General features: G+C 36.7%; 2 annotated features.

The window, feature by feature from the left end:
* Window positions 15900-16400: an enhancer, noted in NCBI's record as "H3K27ac hESC enhancer chr9:30349432-30349932 (GRCh37/hg19 assembly coordinates)". NCBI's record gives its function as "activates a minimal SCP1, AML or CMV promoter by ChIP-STARR-seq in naive H9 embryonic stem cells {active_cell/tissue: H9 hESC(naive)}" and the evidence as "EXISTENCE:reporter gene assay evidence [ECO:0000049][PMID:30033119]".
* Window positions 16401-16901: an enhancer, noted in NCBI's record as "H3K27ac hESC enhancer chr9:30349933-30350433 (GRCh37/hg19 assembly coordinates)". NCBI's record gives its function as "activates a minimal SCP1, AML or CMV promoter by ChIP-STARR-seq in naive H9 embryonic stem cells {active_cell/tissue: H9 hESC(naive)}" and the evidence as "EXISTENCE:reporter gene assay evidence [ECO:0000049][PMID:30033119]".

Here is a 17419-nt window from a genome sequence, read left to right on the forward strand (position 1 = left end):
AATTTCTGTTCTTATAAATTACCCAGTTTCAGGCATTCTGATATAAGAAACAGAAAACAAACTATGGTAGTTTTGTTTTTCTTTTTAATATATTTTATCTAGTGTTGGTAATTGAAATCTGATGGATGATAATACATTTCAGAACCAGTCCTCCCTCATCGTTATTGTTAAAAGATATTTCACTTACATGGAATTCTAGACTGGCACTGATTTTTCTTTCAGCATTTTAAAGATATAATAGATTTGTCTCTGGCTTCCTCTAATTAGAACTCAATGAGAATATCTATCCTCATTCTTTCACATGTAATATTTTATTCCCCTCTGGCTTCTTTTAATAGATTTTTCTCTTTTATTAGTTTAAGCATTTTTGGCTTTGATATGTTGAGGTGCATTTTTAAGAAATGGATGTGTTTTACAAAGATTCCAGCATCTTGAATTGATGACACTAATAAATTTGAAAAATTACATCTATGGGCTAAACTGTATGCCTTCGAAATTCATCAGTTGAAGTCCTAATCCCCAATGCCTCAAAATGTGGTTTTAATTGAAGACAGATCAGTTAATTAGTTAATTAAAATGCAATTATTAGGGTAGTCCATAATCCAACATGACTGATGTCTTTATAAGAAGGGAACATTAGAACACAGACACAGACAGAGGGAAAAGCATGTGAAGTCACAGAAAGAAGACAGTCATCTCCACGCCAAGGAGAGCAGCCTTGGAAACAAACAAACAAACAAAACTCTTTCAACCCTTGGATATCTGACCTCTAACCTCCAGAATGATGAGAAAATAAAATTCTGTTATTTAGGCCACCCAGTCTGTGCTTCTTTGTTATCGCAACCCTAGCAAACTAATAGAAATACTTTAGAAAATCTATTCAAATATTCTTTCAGTCTGTTTTCCCTCCTCTCCTCTAGGCCACCAATTACATATAAATGTGGTACAATTCTTATTGATACCATGTTTACTAACCTTTTCCTCTTCGACTGAGGTCTGTTTTTTATTTTCCTCCTAAGGATTTATTGAGATACAATCCAAAAATCACACAATTCATTAAAGTGTACAAGTCCAGGATTTTTGTATATTAACAGAATTGGGCGATCATCACTATAATCTAATTTTAGAAAATTTCCATCCACTCCCAAATAAATCCTTTACCATTAGCAGCTATTCCCCATCACCCTCTCTGCCTTCTAATCCTATGCTTCCTATCTCTGCATGTTTCTCTTTCAGGACATTTCATATAAATGGATTAATAAAATATGTTGTCTTTTGTGGCTAACTTCTTTCAATTAGTTTGATGTTTTCAAAGTTTATCCATGTTGTAGCATTTATCAGTATTTACTCACTTTTATTAACATTTCATATTTCGTTGTAACAATATGCCACTTTATTTTGCATACATTTATCAGTTGACAGAAATTGGCTTAATTTCACTTTTTGACTGTTATAAATAGTACTGCTATGAACTTCCATGTATAAGCTTTTGTGTGGACATAGGTTTTTATTTCTTTTTGGTACATAACTGAGTATTGAAATGTTGGATTATAGGACAGCTTTATTTTGAACATTTTTTTCTGAAGGATATGTACATTTTAAAATTTCAAGCAGCAATGTATTACGTTTCCAATTTTTCCTTGTCTACAGCCCTTATCTACCTTTTATAGTGCACACATCTGAGAGATAGTACAGTATCTCCTTATGGTTTTGATTTGCATTTCCTCAATGGTCAATGATATTAAGCATCATTTTACATGGTTACTGGACTCATATATCTTCTTTGGGAAATGCATATATTCCAATTTTTTACATAGTTTTTAATTGGAATATTTGTCTTTGTATAATTGAGTTGTAAGAGTTGTTTATATGTTCTAGATATGAGTCCTTTTTCAGACATACAATTTTCAAATATTTTATTTCATTCTGTATGTTCTCTCTTCATTTTGTAGATAGTATCAAATTGTAGATAGTATCATTTACAGCAAAAATATTTTTAAATTTGGTAGTCTATTTTTTATATTTTTTCCTTCTTTGCTCTAAAAGGATTTCATCACCCAAAGAACAAGAAATTATTCTGTTTTCTTCTAATGGTTTTGTACTTTTAGCTCTTACATTTAGATCTTTGATCTATCTGGAGCTAATTTTTGTATGTGGTATGAAGTAGGTGTTCAAATTTATTATTCTACATTTGAACATCCAGTTGTTCCAACACCATTTGTTGAAAAAAAACTATTATTTCCTCATTGAGTTCTGTGGCATAAGGTTTGCACTTAATTCTATTAAATGAATTATTTATTCTTCTATCATGGGTTTTTATTTCCTGACATTCTATTTATATCCTTTATAGTTGCCATTTTTTCCATGTATCTAAACATGGTGTTTTCATTTTCCAATTAATGCTTTCATATATCTGTAACAATTATTTTAAAGATCCAATATGTGAATTTTAACATCTGAACTCTCTTCGTATCAGCTGTTTATTGTATGTTTTCTTTCTTAACCATGTATTAGATTTTCTTGCTTCTTCACATCTCATTATTTTTTAATTTATGATAAATAAATTCGTAAGCAAACAGCAAAGATTGAAGTAACATTTTTCTCCAGAAAATTGCATGTTTCTTCTTGTAAGACTTCTTGTATTGAGTGAAGGATTAATCTCATCTGCATTTTTTTTTTTAGCCCGAATCATCATACAGCTTTAGATGGTTTAATTTTGGCATTGGCTTCAGACATATTGAGAGATTGTACAGCACTATCCATTCAGATACGCTTGGTGTCTAAGTACCAACAACACTCTGGAAATCAATGTATCTCTCTTCCTCTCTGTCTCTCTTTGTTTTGCTTTGTTTTAGTTCAGTTGCCAGCTTTTTGGATCATCTGCATTTTTTTTTTTTTAGCTTGAATCATCATACAGCTTTAGATGGTTTTATTTTGGCATTGGCTTCAGACATATCGAGAGATTGTACAGCACTATCCATTCAGATACGCTTGGTGTCTAAGTACCAACAACACTCTGGAAATCATAGAGTTTTCTTTAACTCTGTTTTTTCACCACAGAAGATCTTATCATCCCTTGCTGCCTCATCCCCAGCTATCTGGAACTAATAACTTGCTTTTAGTCAGGATCAAAATTGCTTCAAAAGGATTTCTGGACATTTGTTTTGTACATAGCCTTCAGCTTTTCCACTAATTTGCACTTGAACAAGTCCCTACACATCTTGTATGATTTATTTCTCATCTCTCCTCTGCTTACAACCTTCAGTATATATTTGGTGAAGGCCTATGGGAAAGAGCTGGCAGGTAGGTATGGGTTTACTTTGTGGCTAAACTTAATTGGTATTAATATCTAACCAACCCTTACGTTTCTAGTAATGTTTTTTTAGTTGTTTGCTTGGCTAGTATGTCTTATCTATTTATTTTTTAACAAACAAACTTATTGGAGTATGATTTATATACAAAACAGAATATATTCAACGTATACAATTTGATCAGTTCAGACATATTCATGTACCCATGAAGCTATCATTACAATCAAGGTAACAAATATATGAATCACTCCAAAAGTTTTCTCATTTTTTTTTTTGCGTGTATGGTAAGAACACTTAACATGATATCTACCCTCACAGCAATTTTAAGTACACTATACAGTATGGTTAACTATAAGCACAATGTTGTAGAGCATTTATCTAGGAATTATTCATATTGTATAACTAAAACTTTATGCCCATTGGACAATCATTTTCTCTCCTCATTTCTCTTTCCCCAAGCCCCTGAAACCTATTGTTCTACTTTGAGCTTCTATGAGTTTGACTATTTTACAAAGCTTATTTGTATTTGGCTTATTTCACTTAGGATAATGTCCTCTAGATTCATTTGTGTTGCAAATATCAGGATTTTCTTCTTTTTTAAGGTTGAATAATATTTCACTGTATGTGTATATTCACAATTTGTATACCATTCATCCATCAATGGACTCTTGGATTATGTCTGTATCTTGGCTGTTGTGAATAATGCTGCAATGAACATGGAAGTGTAGATATACCTTCAGTATTCTGATTTCAGTTGTTTTATTTAAAAATCGTTTTTATTTTTATTTTTTCTAGGTACATAGTAGGCATATATATTTGTGGGGTACAGGAGATATTCTGACACAGGCATGCAATGTGAAATAATTAGATCATGGAAAATGGGTTATCCATCCTCTCAAGCATTTATCCTTTGTGTTAAAACAATCCAGTTACATTCTTTTAGTTATTTTTAAATGTACAATTAAGCTCTTATTGAGTATAGTCACCATGCTATGCTATTAAATAGTGTGTATTACTCCTTCTCCTTTTCTTTTTTTACCCATTAACCATCCCCATCTCATTACCAGCTTCTCACTACCCTTCCCAGCCTCTGGTAACCATCCTTCTACTCTATGCTCATGATTTCAATTGTTTTGGTTTTTAGATCCCACAAATAAGTGAGAACATGTGATGTTTATCTTTTTTTGCCTGGCTTGAAATATCTATTTTTTATTATGTTTTCTAAGTGCGTTAATACATATTTTCAAGGTCAAATATTTTTTTTCCAGTGGATTGTTACATGTGCTTCAAGTACATAGCATATTACCTTGCTAAAAGGCACTCTATTTTTTTATTTCTTCTTGTAGTGTAATTATACTAGAGTTTCATAAACAGAAAGTATCTGGGTTTTTTTTAATCCTAATTTTAGGAGTAATGCATTCAGCATTGGCTTTGGCTGTATAATTACTCATAGCTTTTTAATGTTAAGAAAATATTCCTCTAATCCTTGTTTTCTAGGATTTGGTTGGGGAATACTTGTTGAGTTTTATTGAATACTTTTTAAGCATCAAAGGCCATGAAGATAATAGTCTCCTCCTGTGTTATCTTGTACTGTTTGGTTTCTTGGAAATATATTTTAATACACTCTACATATTACTTAGCATACATGCCGAGTAAGTGTTAAGGATGAATGAAGATGCAATTCTTACTCTCACTAGTGAGACTGAGAGCGTCTCTTTCTCCCATATCCTCTCCAGGTCATTTTAATTTTTCTTATGATTAAAAACAAGTTTAAACAGAGACAATTTGACTTCATCTTTTCCTATTTTAATACCCTTTATTTCTTTCTCTTGCCTGAGTGCCCTGGCCAAAACCTTCAATACTATGTTGAATAGGAGTGGTGAGAGAGGGCATCCTTGTCTTGTGCTGGTTTTCAAAGGGAATGCTTCCAGTTTTTGTCCATTCAGTATGATATTGGCTGCGGGATTGTCATAAATAGCTCTTATTTTGAGATATGTTTCATCAATGCCTAGTTTATTGAGATATTTTAGCATGAAAGGCTGTTGAATTTTGTCTAAGGCCTTTCTGCATCTATTAAGATAATCATGTGGTTTTTGTCATTGGTTCTGTTTATGTGAAGGATTACGTTTATTGATTTGTGTATGTTGAACCAACCTTGCATCCCAGGGATGAAACTGACTTGATCATGGTGGATAAGATTTTTGATGTGCTGCTGGATGCAGTTTGCCAGTATTTTATTGAGGATTTTTGCATTGATGTTCATCAGGGATATTGGCCTGAAATTTTCCTTTTTTTGTTGTGTCTCTGTCAGGTTTTGATATCAGGATGACGCTGGCCTCATAAAATGACTTAGGGAGGATTTTCTCTTTTTCTTGTTTGGAATAGTTTCAAAAGGAATGGTACCAGCTCCTCTTTGTACCTCTAGTAGAATTCGGCTGTGAATCCATCTGGTCCTGGACTTTGTTTTTGATTGTATATTTAGAAAACCCCATCGTCTCAGCCCCAAATCTCTTAAGCTGATAAGCAACTTCAGCAAAGCCTCAGGATACATAATTAATGTGCAAAAATCACAAGCATTCTTATACACCAATAACAGACAAACAGAGCCAAATCGTGAGTGAACTCCCATTCACAATTGCTACAAAGAGAATAAAATACCTAAGAATACAACTTACAAGGGATGTGAAGAACCTCTTCAAGGAGAACTACAAACCACTGCTCAAGGAAATAACAGAGGACACAAACAAATGGAAAAACATTCCATGCTCATTGATAGGAAAAATCAATATTGTGAAAATGACCATACTGCCCAAAGTAATTTATAGATTCAATGCTATCCCCATCAAGCTACCATTGACTTTCTTCACAGAATTGGAAAAAAACTACATTTTATATATAACCAAAAAAGAGCCCACATGGCAAAACAATACTAAGTAAAAAAAAAAAAACAAAACAAACCTGGAGGCATCATGCTACCTGACTTCAAACTATACTACAAGGCTACAGCAACAAAAACAGAATGGTATGGTACCAAAACACATATATAGACTGATGGAACAGAACAGAGGCCTCAGAAATAACGCCACACAACTATAACCACCTAGTCTTTGACAAACCTGACAAAAACAAGCAATGGGAAAAGGATTCCCTTTTTAATAAATGGTGTTGGGAAAACTGGTTAGCCATATGCAGAAAGCTGAAACTGGATCCCTTCCTTACACCTTATACAAAAATTAATTCAAGATGGATTAAAGACTTAAACTTAAGACCTAAAACCATAAAAACCCTAGAAGAAAACCTAGCCAATACCTGTCAGGACACAGGCATGGACAAAGATTTCATGTCTAAAACACCAAGAGCAACAGCAACAAAAGCCAAAATTGACAAATGGGATCTGATTAAACTAAAGAGCTTCTGCAGAGCAAAAGAAACTATCATCAGAGCGAACAGGCAACCTACAGAATGGGAGAAAATTTTTGCAATCTATCCATCTGACAAAGGGCTAATATCCAGAATCTACAAAGAACTTAAACAGATTTACGAGAAAAAAAAAAAACAACTCCATCAAACAGTGGGCAAAGGATATAAACAGACACTTCTCAAAGGAAGACATTTATGCAGCCAACAAACATGAAAAAAAGCTCATCATCATAGGCCATTAGAGAAATGCAATTCAAAACCACAGTGAAATACCATCTCATGCCAGTTAGAATGGCGATCATTAAAAAGTCAGAAAACTACAGATGCTGGAGAGGATGTGGAGAAATAACACTTTTACACTGTCGGTGGGAGTGTACATTAGTTCAACCATTTTGGAAGACAGTGTGGCAGTTCCTCAAGGATCTAGAACCAGAAATGCCATTTGACCCAGCAATCCCATTACTGGGTATATACTTGAAAGATTATAAATTATTCTACTATAAAGACACATGCTCATGTATGTTTATTGTGGCACTGTTCACAATAGCAAAGACTTGGAACCAGCCCAAATCCCCATCAATGATAGACTGGATAAAGACAATGTGGCACATATAAACCATGGAATACTATGCAGTTGTGAAAAAGGATTAGTTCCTGTCCCTTGCAGGGACATGGATGATGCTGGAAACCATCATTCTCAGCTGGAAACCATCATTCCCAGCAAAATAACACAGGAACAGAAAACCAAACACTGCATATTCTCACTCATAAGTGGGAGTTGACAATGAGAAGACATGGATACAGGGAGGGGAATATCACACACTGGGGCCTGTCAGGGGGTGGGGGGCTATAGGAGGGATAGCATTAGGAGAGACACCTAATGTAGATGACGGGTTCATGGTTGCAGCAAACCACCATGGCACGTGTATATCTATGTAACAAACCTGCACATTCTGCACATGTATCCCAGAACTTAAAGTATAATAATAATAAAAAGAAGTTTAAATTTGTCTTTGGCTACCATTTGCATTTCCTTTTCAGTAAAATGGCTGTTCCTGCCCTTTGTCTATTTTTTTCTAACATTTTCTCCCTATATATATCTTTTAACTTTTTTATGGTCTACTTTTTATTTTCAAATATTTTATTATTTGTTCAAATCTATTTCTTCTTCCCTTATGGCTTCTGGGTGTTTTGACTTAAGAAGGTCTGCAACATCCTGAGAGTAAACAAGTATTCTCTTAAATTTGCTTTTTATATTATAATCTTACAGATTATTTTGAAGATGTATGAAGTAGAGATTATGTCCATTGCATGATCGTACATGCCATCTTTTCTGTCTGAATTGAATTGCTACTTTTTTATTATAGTCTAAGTTCTGTGATACATGTGTAAAATGTGCAGGTTTGTTACATAGTTATACAGTTGCCATGGTGGTTTGCTGCACTCATCAAACTGTCATCTACATTAGGTATTTATTCTAATGCTATCCCTCCCCTAGCCCTCCACCCCCCGACAGGACCCAGTGTGTGATGTTCCCCTCATCATCAGAGTGAACAGGCAATCTCCAGAATGGGAGAAAATTTTTGCAATCTATTCATCTGACAAAGGGCTAATACCCAGAATCTACAAGGAACTTAAACAATTTTACAAGATAAAAACAAACAACCCCATCAAAAAGTGGACAAAGGATATGAACAGACACTTCTCAAAAGAAGACATTTATGCAGGCAACAAGCATATGAAAGCTCATCATTAGTGGTTACTAAAGAAATGCAAATCAAAACCGTAATGAGATACCATCTCAAACCAATTAGAATGGTGATCATTAAAAAGTCAGGAAACAACAGATGCTGGAGAGGATGTGGAGAAATAGGAGCACTGTTGGTGGGAGTGTAAATTAGTTCCACCATTGTGGAAGACAGTGTGGTGATTAATCAAGGATCTAGAACCAGAAATACCATTTGACCCATCAATCCCATTACTGGGTATATACCCAAAAGATTATAAATCATTCTACTGTAAAGACACATGCACACCTATGTTTATTGCGGCACTATTGTCAATAGCAAAGACTTGGAACCAACCCAAATGCCCATCGATGATAGACTGGATAAAGAAAATGTGGCACATATACACCATGGAATACTATGCTTGCATAAAAAAGGATGAGTTCATGTCCTTTGCAGGGACATGAATGAAGCTGGAAACCATCATTCTCAGCAAACTAACACAGAAACAGGAAACTAAACATCACATGTTCTCACTCATAAATGGGAGTTGAAAAATGATTTCAGTTCTTTTGGGTATGTATCCAGAAGTGGAACTGCTTGGTCATATGACTGTTTTTTAAACTTTTTGAAGAACCTCCATTCTGTTTTCAATGGTGGCTGCGCCACTTTACACTTCTACCAAGAGTGTAGAAGAAATCCATATTCTGCAGTTTCTCACCAACATTTATTGTCTTTTGTTTTTTCGATAGTAGCTACTATGGTTTATATGTGGTGATATCTTATATTGGTTTTGATTTACATTTACCTAGTGATTTGTTAATTTGAGTACCTTTTAATTTACCTGGAACAATTTTATGTCTGCTTTGCAGAAATGTCTATTCAAGTTCTTGGCCCATTTTCTTGTAATTTGTTTTTCTGCTATTGAGTTGTAGGAGTTCCTCATATATTTTGAATACCAACTCCTTATCAGATATATAGTCAACATTTTTTTTCCATTTCATAGTTTCCCTTTACTTTCTGTTGATTATTTTCTTTGCTGTGTAGAAATGACTCAGTTTAGCATAATACCATTTATCTATTTGGTTGTTGTTGGCTGCGCTTTTGGTGTCATATCCAGGAAACCAAGGCAGGACCAATCCCCAAGAAGCTTTCCCCCTAGGTCTTCCTATAGGAGTTTTAAGAGTTTTAAGTCTTACATGTAAGGCTATAATTAACTGTGTCTTAATGTTCTTCTTGTATGCCATATGATAAGGGCCAATTTCATTCTTTTGAATGTGGATATCCAGTTTTTTCTAACACCATTCATTGAAGAGATTTTATTTCTCGATTGTATATTCTTGATGACCATGTTGACGATCAGTTGACCATTATATGTGTGAGTTTATTTACAGGATCTCCATTCTGTTTCACACGTCTATATGTCTGTCTTTATGTCAGTACCATAACACTTTATTTACTGCAACTTTGTAATGTATTTAGATACCAGAAAGTGTGATGTCTGTACCTTTTTCATTTTTCTCAAGATTGCTTATGCTATTTTGGGTCTTTTGTGGTTCTGTAGGAATGTAAAATTATTTTTCTATTTCTGTAAAAAAGAAAATGTCCTTGGGATTTGGATGGGGGTGGCATTGAATCTGTAGATCTCTAGGGATAGTATGGGTACTTTAACATTACTAAATCTTCCAATCCAGGAAAACAGAATATCTTTCCATTTATTTTAGGTCTTTAATTTCTTTCATTAATATTATGCAGTTTTCAGCATAGAAGTCTTTTATTAATACTTTTTTGCTTAAGCTTACATCTAAGTATTTTATTTTATATTTTATGCTGTTGTAAATGGAATTGTTTTATTAATTATTTTATTACTATTATTATTTTTAGAGATAAAGTCTCACTGTGTTGCCCAGGCTGGCTCAAACTCGTGGGCTCAAGCCATCTTCCTGCCTTAGCCTTCTGAGTAGCTGAGACTACAGGGGTGCACCACTGCGCCTGGCTGGCGAAGGCTTTGTGAAGACAGGGTTCTCAGTTTGCATCTGTTATAACAAAACTATCACAAAAGATTTCAAAAACTGCAACCTTTCTCAAATCCCATCACAAACTTATGCACGAAAAAAGTCTCCTGCAAGGACATTTTCCCAACAACTGCATGTCCAATCTTGGATTCGTATTATCCTCATTATTTTTCCTTGTAGCCTAGGGTAATTATCTCAAAACAATTATGTAATCCTCCTAATTTTTTTCTTTAAATCCTTTTCTTCTTTTACCTCCTGAATACGTAGGTAGTTTACTATAGCACCTGCAATCGGATTGCAATGTCCTGTTCTGGAATTAAAATCATTTCCTTTTAGAGAGTAAACCCACAACCTTCCAGCGTGGGCATCATGGCCATCATGAACATGTCACAGTGCTGCAGAGATTTTGTTTATGGCCAGTTTATGGCTAGATTTTGGGGGGCCTGCTCCCAACACTTGGAACTGGTATGCAGTAAACACTTGAACGCTTTGACCTCTCTGTTTCCATGGCTCATTTTTTTGCCCTGGTGAGTCTTCTCTCAGGCTAAGCCTTTCTCTTTTTGGTAGATACTTTTTGTTGGTATTCAGTAGGGTTGTAATTTGGGATTTAGGATTTGGTTTGGTTATAAGCACCTCCTTAATAAAAGACTTTACATTTCTCCTTAGATCATTAAAGTCTTTTGCCTTTTCTGAGAAGTGCTTTTTGGTATAAAGACAAATGTCTTTCTGGTTTGAGTACTCTGCTTTCTACAGAACTTTAATTCTTTCTCTGAGACATGCCTTTTCTGGTGAATTCACTTTTGGTTTGCATGCCTAGTTTAATGTTATGTTTGATCTGCATACTTTGATAAATTTTTTTGTGAATATTTATACCTTGTTTTCTTTTTGGTAACACACATCTGTAAATAATATGGCTTTTTTACTTGCTTGTTCCTGAAAATCTTCCAATAGCAAAACAGACATTCTAAACAGTGAATGCACGGTGATTAAAAGCATTAGCACAGTTGCCACCATCTATAACATATATGCAAACTTCTAACCATTATCTAATGGGACTTACAGGCTCTTTATTGCTCTCAAAAGACTTATGAAAATGAAATAAGATTCTCAAACATCAAGGCATGCCAAGTTTTCTGAGATTTTAGCCACCTATGTTGTGCCTTATTCTCATGAACATTTTAAAATTGATGGGCAAAGTACATTCATATAAATTTAGAGCACAAATGGTGCTTATTTGAAACCTCTAAAAACAACCTGCAACTACAGAGTTAACATGTAGAGCCTTCTAAGTAATCTGTTTAACTCTATTTTTTTCTGCCTACTTTGAATGTGATGACTTTTCTACTAATGTTGAAAACTTACTGGTTATGGCATTCCAGGCAACATTATAAAAAGGTTTTAAAGTGCTTTCTAATTATCGACTTTACAAATTACAACAGCTCCATGGTAACCAACAGCCTAGACACCTTTAGGGAATGCAAATTTAAATTTTTCTGAATAACAATTACTTACAATTACTTATGGTGATGAAACGGTTAATTGAAGAATTTATGATCTAATAGAAAAAAATGAAATACATGTTTATAAAGGTTAGACTCTCAGATCAGACAGATCAAAATCTTGACTTTCTATATTTTACAGAAAGACTAAATATATTTGGGCTTATTAATAAATGAAAGTATTATATTACAGGAAAATGAGTTTTTAAATATTATAAAATGGTTCTCATCTATACAATACTGATGTGACAAATAGTTAACAAGTGGTTGCTAAAAAGTAATGTTGCCGGGCGCGGTGGCTCACGCCTGTAATCCCAGCACTTTGGGAGGCCGAGGCGGGCGGATCACGAGGTCAGGAGATCGAGACCATCCTGGCTAACACGGTGAAACCCCGTCTCTACTAAAAATACAAAAAATTAGCCGGGCGTGGTAGCGGGCGCCTGTAGTCCCAGCTACTCCGGAGGCTGAGGCAGGAGAATGGCGTGAACCCGGGAGGCGGAGCTTGCAGTGAGCCGAGATCGCGCCACTGCACTCCAGCCTGGGCGACAGAGCGAGACTCCGTCTCAAAAAAAAAAAAAAAAAAAAAAAAAAAAAAGTAATGTTACTAAGAGATAAAATTCTAATTTATATATATATATAATTCTTTATGTAAAATGTGCCTTAAAAAGTAAGATGTGTTTTTGATTAAATCATATATAAATAAATTAAAATGTGTTTTTTGATAACAAATAATAATTTTGTTTAATGTGGAGGTTACTTAAAAATTGTTTCAAAATATGAATTTAGGAAAAAATAAAAACAGGATATAAAGGAATCAGTATGAGAGAGAAATTTGAAGAAATAGGTATAAAGATATCCACTTGGCAAGGAATGTTGAAAATAAAAGAGATTAATTTTGTGTGAAAATCTTGTGTGATCCATTGCTGTCCTAAAGTAAAATGACTGGTTAAGAAAGAAAAAGCACAGGACAAAGTAGAAAGTCTAAGCATGGCATAAAAGGTCTAAGCAGGTAAAGAATGGTTCATAAAGGGTAAATTTATGAAAGGAATTTTGTGTGTAATCAAGTTGGCTATAATTAAGAGAGATTTTAGGACTGTAAAGATTGAGCTTTGATATTAAATTACACTAATACATAAGTAAAACTTTGATCCCCTAGTTTAGAGCAAAATTTTTTTGAAATACTAATTTTCTTTTAGTGAAATTGAAAAAGGCTTTGATTGTTAACTCTGAAATCTGTTTTTTTTAAAGCCATCTTCTACACTACAGTTTATTTTTCTGCCACATTTCTTCCTGAGATTCATCTAATTTCTTTCTTTCTTTTTTTTTTTTTTTTTTTTTTTTTGACAAAGTCTTGCTCCGTCACCAGGCTGGAGTGCAGTGGCACGATCTCGGCCCACTACATCCTCCAACTCCTGGGTTCAAGTGATTCTCCTGCCTCAGCCTCCCGAGTAGCTAGGACTACAGGTGCACGCCACCACACCCAGCTAATTTTTTGTATTTCAAGTAGAGATGGAATTTGACCATGTTGGCCAGGATGGTCTCGATCTCTTGACCTCATGATCTGCCTGCCTCAGCCTCCCAAAGTGCTGGGATTACAGGTGTGAGCCACCGCGCCCAGTGGATCCACCTAATTTCTTAAGTTTTAGGTTAGAAATGCTGTCTTTTTTTCCCTAAATGATAATTTAATGTCTTAAGATAACATTTGTCTTTTCAAGCTTCTGAGATTCACATCTCTGAAGTTAAACTTTTGCTGTATCTTGCAGCACATGGTTTTTCAGATTATGAATTACTGCCTCCAGCTCTCATCTTTCTCCCATTGAAAAGGTATATATTATGCACAAACGCCTAAATCAATTTCAATATTTTTACTATTTCTGAAGACTCTTTTAAAAAGGCAAATACAAAGCTTAAGTGACAAACTGATAAGAAAAATTAAATCTGCTAACCTTTTGGCTTAGTTAGTATCCTTTCCCAAAGGTGAAAAGTATGTGATACCAAGTTAGGCCCTAAGGTAAAGTAGGCTTGCTCCTTTTTCGGATCTATCTATGTTAAGTCCAGGCATGGGGAATGTTTTCTTTGCCCTATTCCTTGATGGGTTCCACTCTGAATTCTGTAAGTTCAGATAAGTTAAAAAAATAACAAATAAAAAATAAAAAAACTACCCATCAAACTAAAATACACCTTTCATTAACCTTTGGATGTAAAGATTGCATGTCTGCCCAACAGGGAGCCACAATTTTTACACTGGCCAACCTAATGCTATAACTACTTGAGGTGGGTAAGTGTAAACTAAAAGCCTTAAAGTGGCACAATTTTATATAACTTAAATATTTTAAAAAAAATATTTTTGTGGCTGGGCATGGTGGCTCACGCCTGTAATCCTAGCACTTTGGGAGGCTGAGGCAGGCAGATTGCCTGAGCTCAGGAGTTCGAGACCAGCCTGGGCAACACAGTGAAACGCTATCTCTACTAAAATACAAAAAATCAGCCAAGCGTAGTGGCGCGTGCCTGTGTTCTCAGCTACTTGGGAGGCTGAGGCAGAGGAATTGCTTGAACCCGGGAGGCAGAGGTTGCAGTGAGCCGAGATCGTGCCACTGCATTCCAGCCTGGCAACAGAGTGAGACATACAAACTAGAAAATCTAGAGGAAATGGATAAATTTCTGGAAACATACAGCTCCCTAAGTTTGAATCATGAAGAAATAGAAATCCTGAACATATCAATAATGAGTAATGAGATTTAATAAGTAATTAGAAGCCTCACAATAACAACACCAAAAGCCCAGGACCAGATTGATTCACAGAAGAATTCTACCAGACATTCCAAAAACACTTACCAATCTTATTGAAACTGTTCTGAATATCCAGAAGGAGGGAATATACTCTGACTCATTCTACAAGCCAATGTTATCCTGATCCCAAAGCCAGAAAAGTACACACAAAAAAGAAAACTACAGACCAATATCCCTGGCGAACATTGATGCAAAAAAAATCCTCGACAAAGTACTTGCAAATTGAATTCTACAGCACATTAAAAAGATTATCCACCACGATCAAGTAGGATGACAAAGATCCCAAAAGCAAATGCAACAAAAAGAAAAATAAATACATAATACTTCATTACACTAAAAAGGCCCCACACAGCAAAAGAAATAATCAACAGTCAACTTACAGAATTGGAGAAAATATTTACAAACTATAAATATAATAAAGGACTAACATGCAGAATCTACAGGGAACTCGAATCAGCAAGAAAAAAACGAAAAATCCCGTTAAAATATGGGCAAACAACATGAATAGATATTTCTCGAAAGAAGATATACAAATGGCCAACAAACATTTAAAAAAATTTCAACATCACTACCCATCAGGAAAATGCAAATTAAAACCATAATGGTGTCACAGAATCCTTAGAATGTCACTCTTCCAGCTGTAATCCTCTGTGGCCAGTGGAGCTATTGCCCGAGTTTTGCTTGGGGCTTCTGGGCTCTTTCTGCCCACTCGGCCCGGCAGGCTGTGCTCAGTTCGCTCTACTGGCCTGGATCCCACGTCTCCCTACGGTGAACAAGGCACGAAACGGCTAGGAGTGTGTGAGCGAGCATGGGGTCTGGCCACCGCGCACAGCCAGGCATGCTGACTGCGGTGGGCCAGACAGCTCCAGGTGCAGGCCCAGGAACAGGCTCCCTGCAAGGCTGTGGCTGGACCAGGCATAATACAAACGGCTTCCACTGCAGGCACCGAGGAAGACGGTGGTGCCTGGAAGCTTTGGGATGCCAGGAAACACAGAGCCACAAAGAAGGTGTCACAACCCTGGCTAGGGGAGCTTCTAGGTCTGGGTTCCCCAAAGGGTTGCAGCTCTTTTCTCATCTGTTCCCTCCTTCTCATCACCTGGAAAATAGCAAGAGAGCATGGGCGGTGGGGGAGGGGAGGAGGAGTGAGCGTTTCAGTCCTATTTGCGTTACAGCTCTTTCAGTCCTACCATTCAGTGGGTCCCGAGTTGTTGTTCTGCGTCCAGGAAGAATGAGGTATGCAGACAACTGGAGGATTAACAAGGTGGAGAGGAGCTTCATGGAGTGACAGAACAGCTCTGAGGAGACCTGAAGTGGGTAGCTCTTTTCCATTGACAGGTTGTCCCAACGTTGAGGAGACCCAAAGTGGATAGCTCCTTCCCGCACAACTGGTAGTTCCAACGTCTGTGTGAGTTTGGGTGTGTCTGGGGATTTTATGGCCTTAGAAGGGCGGAAGTACTTGCTGATTGGTCCATGAGTGGCCACGTGCGGCCAGGAAAAAGCACCATAAATTCTCATTCCAGGCTACGAACTCAATCCTGAATTGGCAGCCGGGCTCCTAGGATTCAGGCAGTCCCTGGCTTGAAAGTGGAGTTTCACTGGGGACCTGCCCCTCTCTGCTCAGAAACGTGTCTGTCTCCTGCCATCAACATGCTGTCCATGGCACCCAGGCTCTTCCTGCTAAAGTGTGCCTGCAGGCCCGGCTGACTGCCTTCATCACTTCCCCAGCTTCCCTCCCATACTCGTCTGTGCCCAAAGTCTAGAGGGGGCCAAGGTGGTGGTGGGGGCTGACCGAGTCAGTGCTACCTCAAGGGCGTGCACACCCATCTGAGTTGCCACAATGCCCGGGCTTTTACACATCTTTGCTGTGAAATTGGAGCAGGTGCCAGGAGTGTGGAGAGGCCAGGTTGCTGGAGCAGGCACTTCTGAGCCTATGGGGGCTGGGGGACTTCCTGGAGCCCCTGAGAAAGCAGGGATGTCTGGGGCTGGAGTCCCTGCTGTTTGACTGCTGCTGCCCCTGGGAGAGCGGGATTCCTGCCCTGACAACTCGGTAGGGGATGCAGCTCCCGCATGTTTCTGGCTCCTACTGGCTCATGGAGTACACAGACCCCGCTGTCGCCATCAATGAGATACTAGCTTACCCCCTTCAGAATGGCTTATACATTGTTGGTGGGAATGTAAATTAGTAGCTTTATGGAAAACAGTATGAAGATTTCTCAAAGAACTAATAGTAGATCTAGCATTCGATCCAGTAATTCCACTACTAGGAATTTACCCAAAGGAAAAGAGGTCATTATATCAAAAAGATACCTGAACTCATAGACTATTGCAGAACAATTCACAATTACAAAGATATGGAATCAGCCTAAGTGCCCACCAACTGAAAAGTAAAGAAAATATAGTGTGGGAAAAAAATATGTCTATGTGAATATATATATATGTGTGTGTGTGTGTGTGTGTCTGTGTGTGTGTGTATTATATGTGTATGTGTGTGTAAACATACACCATGAAATACTATACACACAGCATAGAATACTATATGCATGCCATGGAATACTACTCAGCCATAAAAATGAAATATGTCTCTTGCAGCCACTTGGATGGAATTGGAGGCCATTATCCTAAACGATGTAACTCAGTAATGGAAAACCAAACATTCC

Source organism: Homo sapiens, chromosome 9 (assembly GCF_000001405.40).
Source record: "Homo sapiens chromosome 9, GRCh38.p14 Primary Assembly".
Lineage (NCBI taxonomy): Eukaryota > Metazoa > Chordata > Mammalia > Primates > Hominidae > Homo > Homo sapiens.